General features: G+C 38.2%; 1 protein-coding gene across 35 annotated transcripts in view, besides 1 other annotated feature; it reads right to left on the bottom strand.

The window, feature by feature from the left end:
• Positions 1–22,693, bottom strand: part of MGST1 (microsomal glutathione S-transferase 1) — a 246,217-nt gene that overhangs the window by 219,536 nt on the left and 3,988 nt on the right. For 5 of the 35 annotated variants that reach the window (NM_001414357.1, NM_145792.3, NM_001414359.1 and 2 more), the window contains exons 2-4: positions 19,418–19,565; positions 16,097–16,191; positions 9,386–10,001 (exon numbers count right to left, since the gene is read on the bottom strand). In NM_001414357.1, the coding sequence (NP_001401286.1) occupies positions 9,755–10,001; positions 16,097–16,191; positions 19,418–19,543 (468 nt within the window). In that variant the 5' untranslated portion in view covers positions 19,544–19,565 and the 3' untranslated portion in view covers positions 9,386–9,754. Of the gene's footprint in view, positions 1–2,733; positions 6,472–9,385; positions 10,018–13,352; positions 13,497–16,088; positions 16,192–19,402; positions 19,566–20,328; positions 20,380–22,693 lie in introns of those variants that run through there. The other 30 variants (XM_047428856.1, NM_001414362.1, XM_047428857.1 and 27 more) reach the window with 23 other exon arrangements.
• Positions 13,607–13,901: a silencer, noted in NCBI's record as "tiled region #9686; K562 Repressive DNase unmatched - State 12:CtcfO". NCBI's record gives its function as "represses a minimal TATA promoter and a strong SV40 promoter by Sharpr-MPRA in K562 cells {active_cell/tissue: K562}" and the evidence as "EXISTENCE:reporter gene assay evidence [ECO:0000049][PMID:27701403]".

Below are 22,693 nucleotides of genomic sequence, written 5' to 3'. Positions count from 1 at the left end.
TAATTTGAAACAAAAATGGATAATTTGGGGCAAATATAAGAGGACCAATGTTGAAATAAAGTGGTGTTCTTAGTCACTTTGATTAAATTCTGGCACCAGTTAGTCAGTGAAAAATAATGAGAGAAATTTCAGTATCCATTTATATGCTTTTTATTCAATTGTATAGATCAGGAGTTGACAAACTTTGTAAAAGGCCAGAGTAAATACTTTATTTTATTTTTCTTCTTAAAAATTTTTATTTATTTTTATTCTTATGGATACGGATACATAACAGTTATCACACGGGATACATATAATATCTTGATACAATCATATTATAATCTAATCAAGTTAATTGGGGTATTCATCACCTCAAGTATTTATCATTTCTTTGTGTTAGGAACACTCCAATTGCATTCTTCTAGTTATTTTGAAATATACAATAAATTATTATTAACTATAGTCACCTTATTGTGCTGCCAAACACTAGATCGATTCCTTCCATCCAACCATATTCTCAAACTCATTCCTCAACCCCTCTTTATCCCCCACATCCCTACTATCCTTCCCAACCTCTCTAGTAACCACCATTTTACTCCCTATCTCCGTGAGGTTATCTTTTTAAGCTCCCACATATGAGTGAGAACATGAGATATTTGTCTTTCTGTGCTTGGATTATTTCACTAACATAAAAGCCTCCAGTTCTATCCATGTTGTTTCAAATGACAGAATTTTTTTTATGGCCAAATAATATTTTGTTTTGTATAATATTCCATTATGTAACACATAGTATGTATAGTATATGATAATATAGTATATAATATATACTATATTATATAATATGTAATATATAATATGTAATATGTAATATATAATATAAAATATACAATATAAAATATATAAAATATGTAATATATAATATACTACATAATATGTAATATATAATCTAATACATAATATATGTAACATATAATATATAATGGAATATTATATTATACACACACACATCCCATCTTCTTTATCCATCCACCTGTTGATGGGCACTTAGGCTGATCTTGGCTATTGGTAATAGTGCTGTAATACACGTGAGAGTACAGATATCTCTTTAATATACTGATTTCCGTTCTTTCGAATATACACCCAGCAGTGAGATTGCTGAATCATATGGTAATTCTATTTTTAATTCTTTGAGAAATCTTCATACTGTTTTCCACAAGTGGCTGCACTAATTTACATCCCCACCAACAGTGTAAGAGGGCTCCCCTCTTGCCACATTCTCACTAGAATCTGTTATTCTCTGTCTTGGGTAAAAGCCATTTTAACTGGAGTGAGATGATACCACATTGTGGTTTTGATTTGTATTTTCCTGATGATTAGTGCTGTTGTGTGTTTTTTCATATACTAGTTGGCCATTTGTATGTATTCTTTTGAGAACGTCTATTCAGATCTTTTACCCATTTTTAAGTGGATTACTTGACTTTTGGCTATTGAGTTATTTGAGCTTCTTATATGTTCTTGTTATTAATCTCTTATCATATGGATATTTGCAAATATTTTCTCTCCCATTTTGTAGGTTGTCTCTTTGCTGATTGTTTCCTCGGCTGTGGAGAAGCTTTTTAACTTGATGTGATACCATTTGTCCATTTCTGCTTTGGTCGCCTGTGTTTTTGAGGCTTTAGTCAAGAAATCTTTGCCAGACCAAAATCCTGGAGTGTTTCCTTAATGTTTTCTTCTTATAATTTCATAGTCTCAGGTCTTAGATTTAAGCTTTTAATCCATTTTGGTTTGATTTTTGTATATGGCAAGAGATAGAGGTCTAGTTTCCTTTTTCTGCACGTGGAGATCCAATTTTCCCAGTAGCATTTATTGAAGAGACTGTTCTTTCCCTAATGCATGTTCTTGGTACCTTTGTTAAAAATGAGTTGACTAAATTCATGGATTTATTTCTGGGTTCTCTATTCTGTCCCATTGATCTATGTGTCTGTTTTTATGCCAGAGTAAATATTTTAGACTTTGTGAGCTAAGAGGCAAAATCAAGTATGTTACATAGGTACTTATAAAACAGGAAGGAAAACAAATTTCCATATTTTTTAGCTGATGATCTTCAAAAGATAACAATAATGATGAAGTACCTTTTTTTGTAACAAAGATCTACTAATGAGAAGAATGGAATTTTTATTCAGGGGATTAACATTTTGCTTAATTGGAGTTCAAGGTTAGTGTTTCTAGTCATCAAATTGATTGCAAATGTTCATTAGTAAAAACCATTGATCATTGTTAGCTTGTGGGCCATACAAAAAGAGGTGGCAGGTCAGATTTGGCCCACAGACCATAGTTGACTGACTTCTGGTATAATATGAGTTCAGTCGTTTCACCATCTTTCTTTCTTTACAAGCCCTAAGTTAAAGAATTTCCTTTGGAATGCAAACTTTTTCTGTGGTCCTTGTTGTATACCAAGCATCTAGAATAGTGCTGGGCACATATGAGTCCTTCAATAAATATTTCTTTATGAAGAAATGAATAAACATTTTTCTTTTATTTTATCTGTACACATTTGGACTAGGTAGAACCTAACTAATTTATAGAGTCAAGATTCTGGGAACCCAGAATAATGATTAGACCAAGGAACCCTGTTTCATTTACTTCCAAGCATTCTATTTGTCCCACCATCAACTACTAGCACAAGTTACTGGTCTATTCAAGTGATAGTATGTTCAATGTCTGAAGAAGAATTAATAGAAGAAAATTATTAAATGGAGGTAATTCAATGCATTTATTGAATTTTTCGGAAAAGTAACAATCATTTCATTTTGGTGACATCACATTGGTGATTCAGAGAAAATTAAAGATTATTATTCTGAGACATTAAACCCACAAAATGCTATTTAACTCAAATTGAGCTTGACCTCATTAATAAAGGCTATAAGCTTTCTGCTATAATTATTTCCACATCTTGATATTCATATTTTATCACTGGAGAAAGAGTAGACCAACACCTGCCTCCAGAGTAAATAGAATTTTTAGAGTCACAGAATATTTCAAAAATTGTTCTAGTTCAATGTATTCATTTTAAATGTGAAGAAATGAATAGAGCATAAGTAGGTGACTTGCCTGGGTTTCTCATGTGTATCAGTGGCAAAACTATTATTAGAATCAATTCTAGGATCCAGACTCTAACTGTATTGTCATGAAAGATGAGTTACAAAGGAAATTATATTCCTTTCACTATCAAGTTATAAATTGGGTAGCTCAAACAAGAACTTAGCACAGCTTTATTTTCATGATTAATATACAACCCATAGAAGATAATATACAATTATTTCAGCAAACACTAACACAAAAATTTTACATTTGGGCCAGCAATATTCTCTGGTCTACATTTAATATGTGAATAATCAGAAACTGATTAAATTTGATGAAACACTTGGTTGGGAGCAGGGTGCATATTATAATTTCAAGAGAACAGACTGGGCACAGTTTGGGAACCAACTTAGTTATAGAGGCGATAAGGCTGTCCAAATATTTGTTCCTTGTCCCATCTGTCTTCCTAAGGCAGCACATTGCAAATGAGAGGGAGAAGGCCAAGTTCACAAACCCTGTATTGTGTTTTTTACTTAGTTTGTAACTATTGCTCTCATACTGAGCATATCACAGATTACCACTAATCTGATAAAATTATGACACATTAGAATAAATGCTGTTTTAATTGCATAATGTCATAAAGTTTATAAAATGCTTTTACATGTGTCTGAATTGAAACTCATACTAGCATAACAAAGCGGACAAGTGCAATAGATTGACTGTATAAGTGGCCTAAATCTTCATCCCTCTGTGCATCCATGCCCCTGTGCCATGTGACTTTGCGGTTCATCTCCCTGAGGGGGTTGAGTCCATTTCCCAGCACTTTAGTTCTGAGGCCAGCCCTGTGACTTTCTCTGGCCAAGGGCATGTTGGTGGATGTAATGATTGCAGACTCTTGAAAGGAGATTTATGCAGTTCCATTTCCTGTCTTGCTCCTATGCTGTGATAGCACAGTCAGGCTAACCTACTGGAGCAAGAATCAGAAAACTTTCTGTAAAACACCAGAGAGTAAATATTTTTGGTTTTGTGAGCCGTGTGGTCTCCACTGCAACAATTCAACTACGCCACTCTGCCATTGTGACACAAAAGCAGTTGCAGGAAATATAAAAATAAGTAAGTACTGCTGCGTTCCAATAAAACATTATTTATAAAAACAGCCCATGGGCTGTATTTGGCCCAGAGTCCATAGTTTGCTGAGCACTGTAGTACAGGATAAGACACATGGGAGAGAGTTGAGTTGCCCAAGTAACCCTAGTTGAGATCTTTCTGAATCAGCCAAGTTTCAGCCAATTTCCAGATTCCTTAGAGAACCCAGACACATATTCAGCAGGACCGCCTGGCTACCCTGTAACTTACAGCAAACACATGAGCAAACCCAGTCAAGATCAGCCCAACCCTACAGAACCATTAGCAAAGCCACTGAGTCATAGGATGACTTATCATGCAGAATTATTGTGGCTATTAATACAGTAGGTAAAGTATTAATTTTGCCACTTTAGAATTAAGGATGGGGCATAAAGCCTCAGTCATTATCTCAGGCAGCCAGAAAGCCTCGAGACTCAAGACACAGATATAGGTGTTTTTCAAATCCAGGATCTATTCACTATACCACACTGCTTCAGTCCTTCACTATTCTCTTTATTTTGGGTGGTTTTGCTTCTATAAAGATATAGGTATAGATACGAATGACTTAGGCTAAAAGACTAAGAACTTTAGGCAACCTCTAACTCTCCACTGATGTCCCTCTTAGTTTTGGGTCATTAAAAATTATGTCTGGCTTAAAGTTTGGATTATTTGGATTATTTTCTTGAAGTTACTAATACAGATCTCTTCGTGGTATATCAGAGTCTATATTGTCCTGGTTCATGTTTTCCTAAACTTCAGTAAAAGGCAATAACTTAAATGGTCTACTCTTGCACACAGCTCCTATCTCTCCATTTTACGGCTCACATTTTATGCAGGGCTGTCAGGGCTTTCTGAATTAAATGTGACTTAGGGCCTGCGCTTGCTGACTGAGGAGGCTCACAGGTCCTATAGCTCATCCACAATCTTGTACATGAGCTGTCAAGTATGAGAGATTGGTGCCAAATTCAACCCAACACGGCCCTTCCCAGTAATCTGCCTTTGACAACTCCTCCTTGTCAAATCCAACAGTTTACATAGAATATATAGTGAATAAAGCACCCTGAAAGGTATGAATGTAGAGGTGCCGCTTTGGCTGATGGCAGGAACACCTAGCAGCTTCCCACAGGGCTGACATTTCAGGCTGGCAGCGGGGAGATGATCATAGGATTTTTGTGCTGCTGTTTCTAAATGGATTGTAAAGACTCCCAAGGCAAATTGCCTCACTTCTCACCATCTGCCTCCATGAAGAATCAGTGTGATGCAACTATGCAACTCAGAAAACTTTCTTTTTGGTTTCTTTATTTATAAAGTAGAGCTCTCAGGTGAATGGTTTATAGAACCCATCAGGATTCCCTAGGACTGGGCCTTACTGCATTAAAATTTAACACTTTGGTTGTCCGAAACTCCATGCCCTTCTCCTCACTGCCTAGCAAAATTTCTGGCCTTAGAATCATTGAATGTTAGATCGGGAAGGTGGCAGTCAGCAGTGCTTAGGGGTTTTGAGAGGTCTCCCTAATAACTAGGGATCAGAGATTGTACAATTACCTTTTGATCGTTAACCTCCTAGCTAAACTCAGCATAGACATGCCAAGTCACTTCCTGATTGGTTAGATCCAAGAAGTAGCCTCTTTGTGTTTTAATGTAGTGAAAGGGAGAATGTATCAGTCAGAAGAATGATTGGATAGCCCAAGAAACAGGAAAAAATATACAAAGATAAGCATTGACTATACCTATCCAAGCACCCACAGTGGTGAGGGTCCTGTGTCATCAGACTTGGCCTTGCTAGTCCCAATTGCAGAGTCATTCCAAGTGTAAAGGTGAATTGAATGTGGGGTGCTGTGGCCAATAGACTGAGGTTTTAAGTTTCACTGAAGAGAGATCATCTCCATCTTGAAGTGAATGATGGATGTGTCAGATTGTCTTAGTCTTAAGCCATTTAATATTTGATTCCTCTAACTCTGTTTGGTTTAAACCCACACTCACCAAACATGCTGTTTGGCCACACAAGCCAACATACAGCAATGTGCAGAACACTGGGACATGGAGTGACTCTGGGATCTTTAGCAGTGATCCCGCAGAGAGAACCAACAGCAGCCTAAGAGAGGCTTCCAGGGCAGCTTGACCAAAGCAGGAGAATGGACTAACCTCTGGGATTTGGACGACCAGGCCATGAGACAGTTACAAGTCTGTTTCCATGCATTTCCTGCCATTCTCATTTCCACTCCAGTCTCATTTACATGTAGGTTCTTCTGAATCTGCCTTTCTGGGCCTAAGATCTCCTGTGCCCTGAAAGAATCATTTTTTCAGTCTTCAAAATAGACTCGTCTATTTGACATTAATTCAACAAGGATCTCTCAGCCTTGTTTAAACCACGGAGGCTTTCAGTGTACATAAAAATCTCATGACCTACCCCCATCCATCAACATGCCCAAGATGGAGAAAAGAGTAGACCAACACCTGCCTCCAGAGTAAATAGAATTTTTAGAGTCACAGAATATTTCAAAAATTGTTCTAATTCAATGTATTCATTTCCATCTTACAGATGTCCCACCTATTAAGAAGATTCTACATCATGTAGTATTATATAAAAATACAAACTTTTGTCCAGTATAATACAGATTCAATATCTATATAAATGTACGTTTGCCCTTGCTACAGTAATTCTGGTAAAATCTACCCCTCTCCAATTTCATTTGAGAGTCACTGAACCCTGCCCCCAAAACTCCCATCATTGCCCTAGATGATGACTCTATAATAGATACAGATAAATATCTTCCAGTTTCAGTGGACCTTGAACTGCTTGTGATGGAGTTGCCTTAGGACAGGTGAGGACAGAACAAGGCCTGAATGAAGGGAGATGGTGGTGTTTGAAAAAGTAACAATGTTATCTAATTACTAAGCATCCATAATGGTTAGAACCGATGATGGTAGTATGTGTGTGTGTATGTGTGTGTGTGTGTGTGTGTGTGTGTGTGTGTGTGTACACACAGATATGCATGCAGATAGAAAGATAACCACAATCTTTGTTTTCAAATTAAGTAGCAGAAACATGAAAACAAACCCATCCTATTCCTCATAAGTAATAGTGTTAAGGCAAGCTGTACCATTCCACCTGAGTCCTATCACAAGTTAAAGTCACTTAGCACACAGACTTCACTCTAGAGCCAATTCTGTCTTGTAGTCAGGTGGGGAATCCTTGTTTCAGGAGAGACTAGACCAGTAAATAGCTTTCCCCTTCATCCACCTTCCTTCATAAAAGCAGTTTCACTAATAAATCCCCCTGTATCTAAAGCTTCTCTTGGGAGTAAAAGTATAGTTAGAAACTATTCTAAATTGTTTTTACAACTTATACTTAAATTTAGAAACTGAACTGGGTAATCCCTAGACTTTTGCACTTTTCCTTACGTGTGTTCTGCTCATATACATAGTTCCTATACCTCTGAGAATATAAAATTTAAACGTCCTTTTCCCCTAATAATTGTCTACTAATGAATATCAAATATTAGTAGCTAAATGGATAACTGTTACAATAACCACAATCCATTCTGCTTCTACTCAGAGAAGCATCACCAAGTGAGAAGAAAATTTAAGAAAACGATGAAAGACGTGATAATGGTTCAACAAAGACCTGACCCAAAACCAGGAGGAACTCAGTTATCTGAATCTTTATGATTGAGAGATTACTGAGATAATTCACACATGGGAAACACTTAATGGCTTAGAATATACTTTTTTCAAATTGCTCCACATACAGAAAAGCATATGACCTTCAAAAAATCTTGTAAAGTTTGAGGAAACTGCAGATCAGACAGCATAAGTCAGTTGCCCAACTCCAGAGCAGGGTGTGTGTGTGTGTGTGTGTGTGTGCGCGTGCACGCGTGCATGTTCATGCACACAGAGCCAACTCATGGGTTTCGGACTTTTCCCTCCTGAGCTCGTGGTCTTTTCTGTCAATTACACCACAAAGCGTTCCTAAGGCCAAGATCCACAGCATGCAAAGCTGCTTTTTAACATTAGGAAAAGAAGTAAAAGGAAACTTGTATGGAATTCTACGTAGTCAATTGTCTAATAGGTTTTGTTTATGGACTTCAGAGTTGCTCAAACTATGAAACCTAAAATACAACACAGTGACTTTTCTCTTGAGTGGCACATCTAAATGAACAATTCACAAATGTCATTAAAAGTACTGTTTGAGAAATACATATTTAAAATTAAAATGCATCAAAAGATATGAAAATCAAAAACTAATATAAATTAGATGGATGGCATATACAAGAAAAAACTGATATTTTAAAAGCTTACCCTTTATTATAAAGACTTAAGTACACATTCCACTTAAGACCAAAAAAATCTAAATTTGTGATTTACGTGCTACATAGTTATATGTAGAAACCATGGGTGCTAAATCTATTAAGTGAAAGTTTGTGGGGAGACAGGATATGCAGTCTCAAATTATCACCCCACATATGATTATAAAAATAAAAGGATCCCTTTAAAATGGACAGATTTGGTTGACACTACCTTACTAAATTCATCAAATTTAATATCACCAATAACAGGGCAAACTGATATCATATGCCTGTTGATGTTTTATAGTGTGAAGGACACACCACCAAAACTGTTTAATCTGAATCTAAGAATGAGAAAATCATAGATAAAACAAATCCAGATTAAGGGTCATTCTGTAAAACAACTTGTCTATACTCTTCAAAAAATGTCAAGGTTATACAAAAGAGAAAGAAAGCAAAAGAACTCTCTCATTTAAGTGAAACCTAAATAGAAATGATAACAGAAGGCAATGTTTGATCTTTGAATCCTGGATCAAAAATAAAGTAGTTATGAAGACTATTACTGGGGAAACATGAAAAAATTGGAATAAGGACTCTATATATGAAATATTAGTATATTAATACTAAGTGTCTTGGGTGTAATAATGGTATTGTAGTTATTTGGAGAATGTCTTGTTCATAGGAAAAACGTGCTGAAGTTTTAAAGAGTGACATGTCATGATATCTGCCACTTACTCTCAGATGTTTCAGAGAAAAAGAAAACAGAGAGAGAAGGAAAGCAAATATGCAAAATGTTAACAACTGGCGATTCTAAGCAGGGTACAGAGTGGTTCTTTGTACTATTTTTCAACTTTACCCTAGGTTTGAAACTTTTGAAAATAAAATGTTGGGAAAAATAAAACCAAACAAAATCATTCTTTAAATTCTTTATTTCATGTCTGTTTCAGCAGTATTGAAATATAGGTTTCTCATACGTGCAATTCTTTTATAGATTCAAAAGTGAGGTGTTGTGTGAATGTTACAAATCATAACATGATCCAAATTTATAAGAAAGTACTTTAAAAATCAGACAAAAGACTTAAGAATTACTATGTTAAATTTCTAATCCAAATGTAAAACAAGAATACAGGATATTGGCAATGCTAATATTCAAAATGGGTTTACCCCAGTTCATAATTCCTCTGCTCCCCTCCTACCTAAAATCTAAGAAAGTATTCATTATAAATTGGAAGTACAGAATTCTTAAAAAGCCAACTGGATGCTGAGTTGTATGATTTTCTTTACAGGTACAATTTACTTTTCAGCAACCTGTAAGCCATGGAAAGAGTAACTCCATATCCAACAAAAAAACTCAAAGCTCTATTTGGCTGGGGAAGGGGTGTCAAATATGCAATGGTGTGGTAGATCCGTGCTCCGACAAATAGTCTGAAGTGCAGGATGGCTGTAGAGGGGTCGGGACCACTCAAGGAATACAGGAGGCCAATTCCAAGAAATGGAATAATATTTTCAAGGTCATTCAGGTGGGCTCTGTGGAAAAAGATAACTATTAAAGACACTAATTTCAAAATACTAGATATGTATCCTTTTTTCTCTCTCTTCTAAAAACTAAATCTGAGCACTAATGGATCCTTAAATTTCAAAGTAAGATTTATTTTTTTTCTCTCAAATTGTCTTGCTTCCTTGCCCACTTGACTTTTATTTAGAATCTCTCATTATTTCTGTTTCTTTTTATTTTTAGTGTATCTTTAAATATCACAGAAGGCATTTTGTAGTTCCTAGAATATCAAAACGACATCTATCTAATAGAACTCATTTCATTTTTGTAAATAAAAATACTTTTTTCTTATGAGGTTCATAACAATTAGCAATTCAAGATTCTTTTTATAAAAATTCTTTCTCCCGAAGGAAGAAAACCCTTTTGGTGTTGATTTTTCTTAAGACACCTCCTTTGCTTCTGCTACTCTACCAAATGATTATTGACAGAATCCTTGCCAACCCAAACCACTAGGTTGCCAATAATTAATTTACCAATTTAATATCAAGACTCTCATGCTCTTATATCTAAATAACAGAATACATAACTAGCCTTTCAAATATAGTAAAATTTTTGCTAACCTATCTTCCAAATGCCAAATAAATTCGTTAGGAATGATGGTGCAAAACTACAAAGGACACACAAAAAGTAGGATAGGTGAAAGAGAGAAAGAGAGAATTTCCTAAATGTTTTCTTTATAACAGAGCTAGAAGAAAACAAAAAGCATGTTTTAGCCACAGTTTTGCTCCAAACCGTGGCATCTTGGGTTTCTCTGGCTAAGACCGAATACAAAACACATCTACTATGGACTTGACATTTTTATTATTATTGTTGTCATTGCTATTGTTGTTTTTAGAGAGGGGGTCTTGCTCTGTTGCTCAGGCTGAAGTGCAGTGGTACAATCATAGCTCACTGCAGCCTCAAACTCCTGAGTCTCAGCATCATGAGTAGCTGGGACTACAGGCCTCACCACCATGCCTGGCTAATTTTTTAAATTTTCTTTTTAGAGATGGGGTCTTGCTATGTTGCCCAGGCTGGTCTTGAACACCTGGTCTCAAGCAGTCCTCCAGCCTCAGCCTCCCAAAACACTGGGTTTATAGGTGCAAGCCATCATGCCCAGCAACATTTTTAAAAATACTTAATTTTAAAATGTCACCTCCCTTAAGTCTACAGAATTAGAAATTGCTTTAGAATCTAGGCTAGAAATGGAGAATTTGATAGTTTGTCAGCTATTGATATGTATTTCAAAATGAAAACTATTTCTGCTTTACGTTACTCTCTTCTATAGCAATAAGCATATAATTATTACATATTGCCTGCTCAACGATCGTCACTCTCCTCCTCTCCTTTCCTTTGTCTTGTCTTCCCTAGATTATCTCTAAGCTTGTCTCACAAAGAGGATGACTACATAGAGACATGAAGAGGACAGCAGCAGCCCAGCTAAGTAATGATTTGAAAAGGCTTCAATACAGAATAAAAGCAAAGAGAGGATGGTGTGAGTGTTCCTGTGCCCTCTCTTTCATGGAGCAATACAAGTACTACTGAGAATGAGATGGGAAAGAAAAGACAGGAATACCATTTTCTATTAAAGAAGGGCCCACTTTGTCAATGACACCTAGAGTATTTGTTTTGCCCCTGTGATTTCTCCCCCAGCATCACAGAGATATCGTCACCTCCAATCTTAGGCACGTTAGTGTTCTCCTTCACAACATGCCAAAAGGACAGACATTTTAAGGTTGAGGAAGAAACTATAAAAAGGAGACTCTCTGGAAAACAATGTCCACTTCTACGCCTGTGTTACGCAGTTGACAAATAGAATGGAATGTTAAAGCAGAGAAGAAAGTCAAGGACAGTAAGAGGACCATGAGGGTAGAGGGAAGGAAGGTCAAGGGGCAGGGGTTCCTTTACCTTTCTAGCTCCTGCATGTTTTTCTAGCCTCATTTTCTCTTTATCTTATTCTCCCTTTTGAGTTCTCTTTCTCTTTCGTCAGCCCTCAAAATGTTCTCAAAGATAACACTCCTCACTATGCTAGTAAGGCCTGTTTTCCACAGACCCTCATACTTATGCCAATTTATGCTGTATTTTGTACTTCTTTTGAGACTCTGTTCCAGGCAAACAGTTCCCCAGCTTTCCCTGTGAGCACCTGCTGCAGTGCACTATCACCCTTCCGTCCTAACCCTCCCCTCTTCTCCAACGACAGACTCCTTCCTGGAGCGGCAGCTTCCTTCACGTTAGTGCCATTTATGGACAGCTGCCAAAATCTATCACCAGGTGGACATCAGTCTTCCTAAGAGTCCACTTTCTACCTGGGTCTATTACCCTTCTTCCCCATGATTACATTTTCCCATTCTTCTTTCTCCTTTGGACACACATGCCCTGGCATATATTTGCTCTGTGACGGACCTTCCCACCATCTCTGTGCTCTTGAGGCCACAGCCACGCCTCCTTCCCTCAGATCAGAATTACTTGGATCCCAGCATCCACCTGACCTGGACTGCCATTGCTACATGCTTCTGGGGATTGTCAGGCTGTGAACAACTACAAAAGGAGCTGCACAGCAGGCTTTTCCTGACGCCCTCATCTCAGCCAAAGCTCTTCACCCTCAGCACATAGCCAGCCATGTGTTCACATTCTCACAAAGGAATTTTCCCAAATTGATGAGACTTCTCTCCTCTTTCTCCTTTCAAATCCTAATACTCTTCAAGGTCTTCCTTTATGAAATATTCCATGGAACTAATGGAACATGGCTTCATATCATTCTCCCATTCCTATATGCATGTGGGTCTTTTGGGGGCGGGGAGGGGGGGAACACTATAAACCCCTGAGGGTCAGGAACCCAGTTTTAAAGCTCTTTGATAGCATCCCAATAGAAGAAATGACAGTGATACATACACAATAATCTCTCCATATATGTGTGTTCATACACTGGGGCCACGAGGGACATCATCCAGTTCAACCCCTAGCCTATGCTCCAGTCTCATGACAGAGTCCCCAGCAAGTGTCACTTAGACTCCATGGAACACTCTCAGTGAAGGGTTATTCTCTACCTTTAAAGGGAATATATTCTAAATGTCTCTCCTGTCCCTAAATACCAACTCAAGCCTTTATTTTGTCTTTTGAATGACTCCCTGTATTTCACCAGCTGGCCTGTTTGCCTTTCAACTTTCTTTTTATCTTTTTGTGTTGAATGTATATGGTCTTGAATGCTTCCTAGACAAGCTAAGATGGTATTAAATAAATAAATAAATATGTCAAGTGCTTTCTAACCATCACTGGTTTCTGTCTTTCCAGAACTCAAATAACTGACTTTAAGTCACATATCTTGGTATTTCAACACATATTACCTTAAGTTTTTAGTTAATTGTTCCATATGTGTATGTATTAACTTTCACAATTGTTGCACACGGTAAAGCATACTTTTCACTTCATTTGTAGCCCCATTCTGGCTCTGCCGTTCAAATATGCTAATCGTAACAGCTTTACAATGACTGAAGTAACGAGAGAGGTGAAAAAAAAAAGTCTAACTTAAAAATGGAAAGGGAAGATGCTGGAAACGCTCTCTCTGAAAAGTGTCTCCAAAAGTGTGTTATTAGGCACTTTTTCGATGAAACAGGTACTGTCTCAAAAAGCATTATACAACTGGAAACTCCGCTCTGTTGGAGACGCTCTTCTCTCAGTATGCGGAAAAGCCAGTGTCTCATCACCAGGGGGCGCTGTGCACACAGTCGCTGCACCTCCTCCAGGACTCGGAACCTTTACAGAACTGGGGTCAATTGTTCTTTCTAACATTCATTTGCAACCTGACTAGCGGATCAATTTAGATAACGTCGTTTTCCTCTAAAAGTACAATCCCACGGGCAGGGAGTAAGGGTGGAAGGTCGGAAAGAATAGTAGGGAGGAATCTAAAATCCCCAAATAAAATATCTTTTGTTACGCTTTCACACAGGAGACTTACTTGGATTTTCATTTCAGTCTTACTAATACTACTGAGGGTCTAATTGCTTCTGATCACTTTCCAGTTCTGGGCAATTTTATAAATACAGGGCCATGACTAGCATCATGCAGGCGGCTGCCTGCTCTAAAAGGGGAAGTGCATAAAGGACCAGACAAGGCTTTAAAAGTTTTCATGTCTCTTCAGTGGTTTTGAAAACTTAAGCTTCACTCACTTTTTTTTATTTTTTTTCGTCTAACACATAATTTTTCCTTTGATATTGTTCTGCTGTTTGAAATTTCCACAGTGATTCTTTGTCCTGAAACTATTTTATATCCATATTCTTGACACAACCCATTCTCAAGACTCACTGATTTACTCAGCAGGGCTGCTGAATTAAGAAGTATATAACTAAGTGAGATAGAAGGTGAAATTTTGTGCTAAGTATCTGCACAGACTTCTTCTTAGAAGAGAAACATTCTTGCTTGATGAATAGCTTGGGGGTAGAATTGTTTTGCATGAGCAAGAAGGTACTTTTAATTTTAGTGCTGAAAAGGTTGAAGAGTCTGTGGGGCTAGAGGAGAGCCTCAAAAATGGTGTAACACTGGGCATTGCTTGCGTGAAGGAGGTACAGGTACGGGGCATATTCTGCAAAGAGAGGACGCTGAAGGCCATTGTCTGACAGAGAAATAACATACAACTTAAAATGTTTGTGCTGCCACAGTGTAAACGCCTCTGCACTTCCACTTACTCAAGTCTATTTTTAGCCACATTTTTTTTAGTTCATTTTTGAAGGGAACTGATGAAAGGGCTGGATTAACATCCAGCATAACCAATTGCAGAATATGGAAACATGCATAGAGGCAGGAACCCAGATCCAGAGTTAACCTGGAGATGATATGCCATAAGGGAATCTGCAGAAATCTTGGGAGGGGCTTCAGACTTTCACAGAGAATCAAAAAAGGGCTAATGCAACCTAGGTGTCCATCAATATGAATTGGATAAAGACAATGTGGTACGTATACACCATGGAATACTACACAGCTGTAAAAAAAAAAAAAAAAAAAAAAAAAAAAAGGAATGAATTTTGGCCAGGTCCGGTGGCTCACGCCTGTAATCCCAGCACTTTGGGAGGCCAAGGTGGGTGGATCACCTGAGGTCAGGAGTTCGAGACCAACCTGGCCAACATGGTGAAACCCAGCCTCTACTGAAAATACAGAAAATTAGCTGGGCGTGGTGGCACATGCCTGTAGTCCCAGCTACTCAGGAGGCTGAGGCAGGAGAATGGTTTGAACCCAGGAGAAGAAGGTTGCAGTGAGCCGAGATCACACCATTGCACTCCAGCCTAGGTGACAGAGTGAGACTCCATCTCAAAAAAAAAAAAAGAATGAAATCATGTCCTTTGCAGCAACATGGATGCAGCTGTAGGCAAGTACCCTAAATGAATTAACACAGGAAAAGAAAAACAAATACCACAAGTTCTCACCTATAAGTGGGAACTAAACACTGGGTACATAAACACAAAGATAGCAACAATAGATTTTGGGGACTATTAGAGGGAGTACAGAAGGGGAGACAAAGGTTGAAAAACTAACGGGTACTATGCTCACTACCTGGGTGATAGGAACAATCATACCCCAGTCGTATCTTGGCTTATTGCTTTTCATTGCTCATTGAATTCCCAGTACATTAAAACATAATATTTAAAAAGAGATGGCAGTGGGGAGAGGGACAGAGAAAGAGGTTCCTACTCCTCCAGAGTGTCAACATTCTTATTTTGAATCTTATGCAAAAATACCTAATTCTTCAACCTTTTACATGAGTTGACAGTCTCACCTATGGACAAAGACGATAAAACTCCAAGAATCTACTGTTCCCATTTTACCTCCTCCCTGCCATTACTTTTGATACATCCCTATATACAGCAACGTCATTAACCCCAAGAAAGTACACATAAAAGTACAGTATTGCCAAATTGGCAACACATACAAGTGCAGTGTGTCAATTTCAGACATCCAGTTTTCTGTAATTGTCATGTGGAGTAGGTAAGAGGTCTCACTTTTTTTCCTCAGTCTCCAAGACCCTGAGACATCTTCACTGAACTCCTTGACCAAAATTGTTTCATAAAGTAAGTAATTTCAAGAGACACTGGTTTACCTGCGTACACGTTCTACTCTGTCATCTGTTCGAAGATACTTCTTGGCATTTTCTCCTTTGCCAAATGCTACACAGTCTTCTGGATTGGCAAAAACCTATCCAAATACCAAGAAAAAAAACTTATTTCAAATACTGGCCAGGAGCAATAGCTCACACCTGTAATTCCAGCGCTTTGTGAGGCTGAGGCAGGATTGCTTGAGCCCAAGAATTCAAGATCAGCCTGGGCAACATAGGGAGTACCCATATCTACAAATTTTTTTAAAAAAAATTTTGCATGGTAGTGGGCCACATGCATGCCTGTGGTCCTAGCTACTCAGGAGGTTGAGGTTGGAGGATCACCTGAGCCCGAGAGGTTGAGGCTGCAGTGAGCTGTGATTGCACCACTACAATCTAGTCTGGGTGACAGAGCAAGACCCTGCCTCAAAAAAAAGAAAACAAACAAACCAAGAAATAACATGGGGATATTCTACCTAGTAAGTTATTTGCATTTTAGTGGAAGAAATATAGACATCCAGGTTGGCCCATTTGGAGCAATAAATCAAACACAAGAGGAGAAGAAGGCATCTATAGTTAAAACTGAATTTTTATTAACAATGCAAAGTTGTAAAAAGAGAAGCATAAATAAGAACTTGAACAAAAACCAGTGAATAAAAATAGTGAAAAGGAAGCAAATATGGGGAAAGGCATAATTCTAAGTCATTGACTATTAGTATGGTTCACTGGTATCTTTTTCACAGTGATGTTGACATACCTTCCCTCAAGTGTATTAACATTTCCAAGCGATTGGCTCATCTGAAAGTAATATGTTTACCTGCCAAAGGTTTTAGAGAACAGGCAAGAAGCATAAAAGAGTAAGGGATGGGAAAGGTGTCTTGTACTCTGTCAGAACATGTGTACCTCTTTTCTTTTTCTAAATCAGATAAAACTTTGGGTTGAAGAATACTGTATAATGAAATTTGAGAAGCTGAATTGCATTCCTAGGAATAAGAAGTACACATTCATGTATTCCTTCCTGCAATTATTATGCTCTTTGAAATAGCTTCCCCATCCCTTGAAACTTGAAATCTGCATTTAAAAAATATTTAAGCATGTGCCACTATTTAATAATTGATGGCAGAGAAAAACACAAACTGCAAAATTAATCTCATTTGTTTTCTATTTTTTCTTAATATGATATGAACATTATATTAGAGATAAAGATGTTGAAGAGAACCGATGCACAGGGCTGGGATACTGCCCATCAGTTTTCCTCAACATCTTTATCTGGAATAAATATTCCAGATAAAGTTCCTAAGGTCAGGCCTGTCTGTCTTGTTCATCGTAGTGCTCCCCTAAATAAGTGCCTGGCACACACTAGATGTACAATAAATATATGTTGAATAAAGAAATAAATGTATTACAATGGAAAGGGCATTAGATTGGGTTTAATGCAATTTCAGTTTGAATCTCAGTTTCACTCTTTATTTGTATGTAACCTTGGATAAGCTATTGCTAAGGACTGAATGTTTGTGGCCCCCTAAAACTTGTATGTTAAAGCCTAATCTTCGATGTGATAGTATCTGGGATATGAGGCCTTTGGGAGGTAATTAGGTGAAGAGAGTGGAGTCCTCATGAATGAGATTAAAGTCTTTATAAGAAGAGAAAGGAGAGAGTTTGCTTCCTTCTCTCTCTCTCTCTCTGTGCTCTGCCAATGTGAGGATACAATGAGAAGATGGCCATCTGCAAGTCAGGAACTGGGCCCTCACTGAACACCAGATCTGCTGGCATCTTGATTTTAGACTTACCAGACTCCAGAACTGTGAGACAAATGTTTGTTGCTTAAGCCACCCAGTCTATGGCATTTTGTAAGAGCAGCCCAAAGGGACTCAGACAGCTACTTAACCTCTAACTGCCCCCTCTATATAAAATGGAAAGATGAATCCTCATTTCACCTGACAATGCTAACAAGTGTGTAAAATGACTGCATGACCAAGCACACATAAAAAGCGTGTGGCTCCCGGCACTCTCCAAATTTGAATTCCCTTCATCTTTTCTTTTAAGACAGGGTACATTTCCTTGGTGACATTCTGTGTCTAGAAGTCAGTGTGGACCTGGAAGCAGACAGCCACTTTGTTGCCCTGATGCTGCAACACATCAGTGCATGAGAGGTGTTCCCTCCATTAAAATGCAAACATCCTTCCATTATACCTCAAAATAGTAGGCCAGGCCCACGCCTGTAATCCCAGCACTTTGGGAGGCCAAGGTGGGTGGATCACCTGAGGTCAGGAGTTTGAGACCAGCCTGGCCAACATGGCAAAACCCCATCTCTACTAAAAACACAAAAATCAACTGGGCCTGGTGGTGCGTGCCTATAATCTCAGCTACTTGGGACGCTGAGGCATGAGAAGCACTTGAACCCAGGAGGCAGAGGTTGCAGTGAGCCGAGATCCTGCCACTGCACTCCAGCCTGGGCAACAGAGTGAGACTCCATCTCACAAAAAAAAAAAAAAAAAAAAGTAACAAGGAAACACCTTAGGGAAGACTGTGACCTATAGATAAAATCAAGGCTCTAGAGGACAAAACTCAGGACAGGTCCTAAGAGAGAAACAGATGGTCTCCAGGAAGAAGTTGCTGAATGAGCACAGGGACTACCCCCGTGAAAATATTTTAATTTTGTAAAGGGAACCTCGCTCTACGCGCTTCAAGCACGTATAAACCCTGCTTGAATACATAATATGTGCTTCAGAATCTGTCTACCACCCTCCCCACATCTGCACTTAAAAAAAAAAAAGTCATTCTTATAATGCTGGGTAGAAATAGTATCCACTTAAAAAGTCAGAAGTACACAAAATTCAAAAGGCTCATATATGAGGCTCACTTTGAAAGTAAGACTTTAATTCTCAGCCTTTTTCTTCTTTTTCTTTCTTCTTTTTTTTTCTATTTTTTTTTAACCAAAATCATACCCTTGACCTGCACTAGAGCTGAAAATACCAGTTAACTGTCTAGAAAATGATTGTTTTCTAAACCCTCATTGGCAAAATTAATTCCAAAATGAAAGAAAGTTTCCGTGAAAACTTTGATATTCCAGAATATCTCATCTGCTTAGCAGAATGATAAAAAGGTAAAAGCCATAATGAAAAAACCATTTACTAGTTTCTAGGAGAAAGCAACTGTTCCATAAATACATCAGATCCATCTGTGCCAAACGATGGCATACTTCACTTACAGCATAAAACAGTGTGCTATTGGGCTTTACCAAAAATAAAAAAAGAAAATTAAGAAAACTGCTCTCCAGAATTCCAACTCTTAAAAGTAAGAAAATATTACCTCCAAATTTCTTACCTTTCTTGTCAATCTATAGAATGCAGTTGCAGTACTCATAAGCATCATTTTTGAAAGAATAATTGTTGCATAGGATGCAAAAGCCATGAATACTTCATCATCCATTACCTGGGTGAGGTCAACCATTTTTTCAATTTTGGTCTGGAATCTTAAAAAGATTTAAATAAAATGGGAAAAAGCAGACATAAATACCCAAAATAACTGGAAGATCATTTGATGTTCTTATATTGCAGCATTAATTATACTGTTCTTAAAAATATCTTGGACTATTTGCAGAAGAAATGATTGTTTAGTTTTTAAAATGTCAAAGTAAATAGGGGCTGAACGCAGTGGCTTATACCTGTTAATCCCAGCACTTTGGGAGGCCGAGGCTGGTGGATCACTTGAGATCGGGAGTTTGAGACCAGCCAGCCCAACATGGTGAAACCCCATCTCTACTAAAAATACAAAAATTAGCCAGACGCAGTGGCGTGTGCCTGCAATCCCAGCTACTCGTGAGACTGAGGCAGGAGAATTGCTTAAATCCGGGAGGCGGAGGTTGCAATGAGCCAAGATTGCGCCACTGCACTGTAGCCTGGGCGACAGAGAGAGACTCTATCTCAAAAAAAAAAAAAAAAAAAAGTATGCAATATTATATTTTATCTAGTTCTATATTATTTAGCTTGAAGACATCAAGCAAGTACTACTTGAAAAAAAAGGGTGCAGTATAAGCAAAAATAAATAGCAAAAATGCCCTAAACATAGACTAACATCACATACTAGCACTGAGATTAACTATAAGTAGGTTGAAAGCAAAAGACCAGAGGTCATAGACTGATCTCTTTGGAAACATCAAGCTATGTACCTAGCAGCAGCACTGAACTTAGGAAGGCCTCAGTTCTTATGTATCCTGCTTTGGAGACCCAACTTACAACTTGTCATTTCAGTAGTATTCAAAACTGTAGGCTTTAGGACTTGAATTCCAGTCCCACGATTTAGCTGTTAACCTTGCTTGAGGGATTCAGTCTCTGAGACTAAATTTCTTCATTCTTAAAATCGAAACAGTAGGCCTGGTGTGGTGGCTCACGCCTGTAGTCCCAGCACTTTGGGAGGCCGAGGCGGGTGGATCACGAGGTCGAGAGATCAAGTCCATCCTGGCTGACACAGTGAAACCCCGTCTCTACTAAAAATACAAAAAATTAGCCGGGTGTGGTGGCAGGCGCCTGTAGTCCCGGCTGCTTGGGAGGCTGAAGCAGGAGAATAGCATGAACCCAGGAGGCAGAGCTTGCAGTGAGCCAAGATGGCACCACTGCACTCTAGCCTGGGTGACAGAGTGAGACTCTGTCTCCCCCTCCAAAAAAAAAAATTGAAATAGTAATAGCTTCTAACTTAATGGGTTATTGTCTAATGTAATGGAGATAAAATATGGACTGGCCCAAGAAAAACCCTCAATAAATTTATAATATCCTTATCACAATTGTCATCATGATCACCATCATCATCAATTCGAAGACAGGTAAAGAAGGAGAAGCAGGATAATGGAAACATCAAAAAACAGGCTTGCAAATGCAAGGTAAGGAATTACCATATATGGTACTTTCATGGGTGTAATAGGGAAGGAGAATTAGCTTTACATGATCCTTGAGTCATTTCACATTCCAAAGTTACATTCAACTAAAAGCCGTTGAGTAGAGGAATGTAGTTATCTGTGTCTGGAATTGGAAGTATAATTGGGAATGTGCTGAAGAGGAAGGCCAAGACACACTGGTGATACTGAAGTCAAAACAGGTAGGAACTTAGGGTAAAGCTTAAAATGTACATTTCCAGTCCTCTGCCATTATTCTTTGTAACCTCCTCTTGTTCTTTTATCAGCCCTGCTATCTACTTCTCTCTCTTCCACAGAACACACACAACTTTTCTCAGACCCAAGCTTAGAGGCTATTTATCCTGCTTGGCATGTAGTACTGTCTCTTCTAGATGATGTTCATTCCTGCCTTTAAAGCTCAACCCCTGCATTGTGTCCTTATTAGCCTGACACCTATCAGCTGCAATCTTTCTATCCATCTTACCAGTAATCTATACATTTATATGTATCTTTATTGGTCATATAGCCATCTTTGTGTTGCTGGTGAATGTGATTAAAAACCACATACATATATACTTAGCTTTATTAGAGCTTGCTATGTGTTCAACTATACTATGTACATTATGTACACTACTTTCATCACCTTTGTTAATCTATTACAATTGTCATAACTATACCCATTTCACAAAAGAAGAAAAAGGGAATTAGAGTTGTTAAGCTGCCAAGCTGGGACACGAACACCCCATACGGTTACTACACTATACTCTCTCTTTCAAGAGGCTTGATTAATTCTGCTCTCAACTCTTTAATTCTGCTTAATTCTAATTCAATTGACATTAAGTGAATGCCTACTCTGTGGCTGGCACAAGTAGGCACCCCTTATATCTGTCATCTTCTTTCTTTTTCCAGTTATGTGGTGAGGTATTAAAATTCCCATTTTGCAGATAAAGAAATCAAAGCTACCTAAGTAACCCCTATTTTTGTTTCCTTTTCTTTTCTTTTTTTGAGATGGAGTCTCACTCTGTCGCCCAGGCTGCAGTGCAGTGGTGCAATCTTGGCTCACTGCAACCTCTGCCTCCTGGGTTCAAGCCATTCTCCTGCCTCAGCCTCCCGAGTAGCTGGGATTACAGGTGCCCGCCACCACACCTGGCTAATTTTTGTATTTTTAGTAAAGACGGGGTTTCACCATATTTGTCAGGCTGGTCTTAAACTCCTGACCTCAGGTGATCCACCCGCCTCAGCCTCCCAAACTGCTAGGATTACAGGCATGAGCCACCATGCCTGGCCCCCCTATTTTTGTTTTCTTAGGCTAAAAATATACAGCTTGGATTTAGGCAAACAGAAACTACATGCGCAAGGTTTTTAAAAAATCCCCTAGATAGCAAATTAATCAACCTCCATAAGTCTCTAGTCTTGAAAGCACAGTATGTTAGATTAGCTCTCAGTGCAATATAATATTTTTGGTAACATTTAATGTGTCTGCTTGTTCTAGTATTGAAGGGGTGAAAGTCATGAATAAACTGCACTATCCTTCAGAGTGTAGGTAAAGTAATTAGCTTAAGAAAGGATCCCTAAGTCCCAGGCCTCTGTACAAAGATGTGAAGAAATACAGCAAGCGTGTGAAGTTTTTTAAAATTAAGGTAAGTTTATCAAATAGAAAGTTGCTACTTAACAATAATTTTAAAACTAAAACATTCTCTATAGGCCTCTAC

Source organism: Homo sapiens, chromosome 12 (genome assembly GCF_000001405.40).
Source record: "Homo sapiens chromosome 12, GRCh38.p14 Primary Assembly".
In the NCBI taxonomy this organism is placed as follows: Eukaryota; Metazoa; Chordata; class Mammalia; order Primates; family Hominidae; genus Homo; species Homo sapiens.
The sequence above is the reverse complement of the archived record's forward strand: the minus strand, read 5'-3'. Positions and strand labels throughout refer to the sequence as shown.